This window comes from Homo sapiens, chromosome 11 (genome assembly GCF_000001405.40).
Source record: "Homo sapiens chromosome 11, GRCh38.p14 Primary Assembly".
Classification (NCBI taxonomy): domain Eukaryota; kingdom Metazoa; phylum Chordata; class Mammalia; order Primates; family Hominidae; genus Homo; species Homo sapiens.
Genome location: NC_000011.10, coordinates 49,980,954 through 49,982,868, shown reverse-complemented (window position 1 = coordinate 49,982,868; position 1,915 = coordinate 49,980,954). Strand labels below are relative to the sequence as shown.

The following is a 1,915-nucleotide window of genomic DNA, read 5'->3' as shown; positions in this document are numbered from 1 at the left end:
TTAAAGTCTTATTAGTCTCCAAAACTATTACCTCTAATGAATGCATTAATTCATCATATTGATGTCTAAGTGAAGTTTTGAAACAACTACACTCTAGGAAATGGAATCTCTCTCTTCTGGGTGTCCCATGTCTTCTAAGAATATTTTTGAGGTCAGGCTAATAAAAAACTAAGAAGTCAGCTAGAGAAGTTTACGGGTACCTATTCCTAGAGAGTTTTGGGAAGAGAAGGAATCATCTGTGAGATGGCAGAGCAGTGAAAAGGCAAAGTTTTGGACTATTTGATTCTTTTATGCTTCTTTTTTTTCCTTTCTTTTTTCTAAAGGTAAAATATTCCTTCCTGGAGGTTTTATCACCCACACTACATAGATGGAGAAGAAAAAGAATGTGACTGAATTCATTTTAATAGGTCTTACACAGAACCCCATAATGGAGAAAGTCACGTTTGTAGTATTTTTGGTTCTTTACATGATAACACTTTCAGGCAACCTGCTCATTGTGGTTACCATTACCACCAGCCAGGCTCTGAGCTCCCCCATGTACTTCTTCCTGACCCACCTTTCTTTGATAGACACAGTTTATTCTTCTTCTTCAGCTCCTAAGTTGATTGTGGATTCCTTTCAAGAGAAGAAAATCATCTCCTTTAATGGGTGTATGGCTCAAGCCTATGCAGAACACATTTTTGGTGCTACTGAGATCATCCTGCTGACAGTGATGGCCTGTGACTGCTATGTGGCCATCTGCAAACCTCTGAACTACACAACCATTATGAGCCACAGCCTGTGCATTCTCCTGGTGGCAGTGGCCTGGGTGGGAGGATTTCTTCATGCAACTATTCAGATTCTCTTTACAGTATGGCTGCCCTTCTGTGGCCCCAATGTCATAGGCCACTTCATGTGTGACTTGTACCCATTGTTAAAACTTGTTTGCATAGACACTCATACCCTTGGTCTCTTTGTTGCTGTGAACAGTGGGTTTATCTGCTTATTAAACTTCCTTATCTTGGTGGTATCCTATGTGATCATCTTGAGATCTTTAAAGAACAATAGCTTGGAGGGGAGGTGTAAAGCCCTCTCCACCTGTATTTCTCACATCATAGTAGTTGTCTTATTCTTTGTGCCCTGTATATTTGTGTATCTGCGCTCAGTGACCACTCTGCCCATTGATAAAGCTGTTGCTGTATTTTATACTATGGTGGTCCCAATGTTAAATCCCGTGGTCTACACACTCAGAAATGCTGAGGTAAAAAGTGCAATAAGGAAGCTTTGGAGAAAAAAAGTGACTTCAGATAATGATTAAATAAGACCATTGAGCACTCAACATAGAGGTAATAGGTATTTAAGCTTCTTGATTTGTAGATGAATATGTCAACTCTAACAAGGGGCTGGCTAATGCTTGCAGATAGTCAGTAAAGCATAAAGCTAAAGCTTGGACTGTAAAGCTTACTGTCTCTTATCCCACACTCTTGTCATCACCACTATTGCTTTTTAATTAATACATATTCATCAATTGCCTGGAAACTTGAAACATCTCTAGATGCTAAAAAGTATAAATGTAGAATATTAGATTGATATTAAAATAATCTTATTATATAACATTAAGCTGTTGGTTACTGCTGATTATTGAAATTTACATGTTTAATGATATTTCTTTAATTTGGACCCTGGCTTAATATATACATACTTTCTTTTGTAAATTTTATTGGTCACAATATGTTGGTCATATTGTAAAAAGATGTTCTGTTCATCTAATGCCGCAAGACTGCATTATATTAAGTTTTTTCCATATTGTATCAGCTAGGGTTCAATCAGGAGACAGATCACACAGCTTCCCCGATTTGAGCATTGCAAATTTACATAAAATTATTAATTATATCGAGGGATTAACTATAAAGAAGTAAAGAATGCCCTGTGACTG

The 1,915-nt window shown here is 37.3% G+C and overlaps 1 protein-coding gene across 1 annotated transcript; it reads left to right on the top strand.

The window, feature by feature from the left end:
* On the top strand, window positions 334-1,396 carry OR4C12 (olfactory receptor family 4 subfamily C member 12). The gene has a single exon (NM_001005270.4). The coding sequence runs from the start codon at window positions 368-370 to the stop codon at window positions 1,295-1,297; it is 930 nt and encodes a 309-aa protein (NP_001005270.3). The 5' UTR covers window positions 334-367; the 3' UTR covers window positions 1,298-1,396.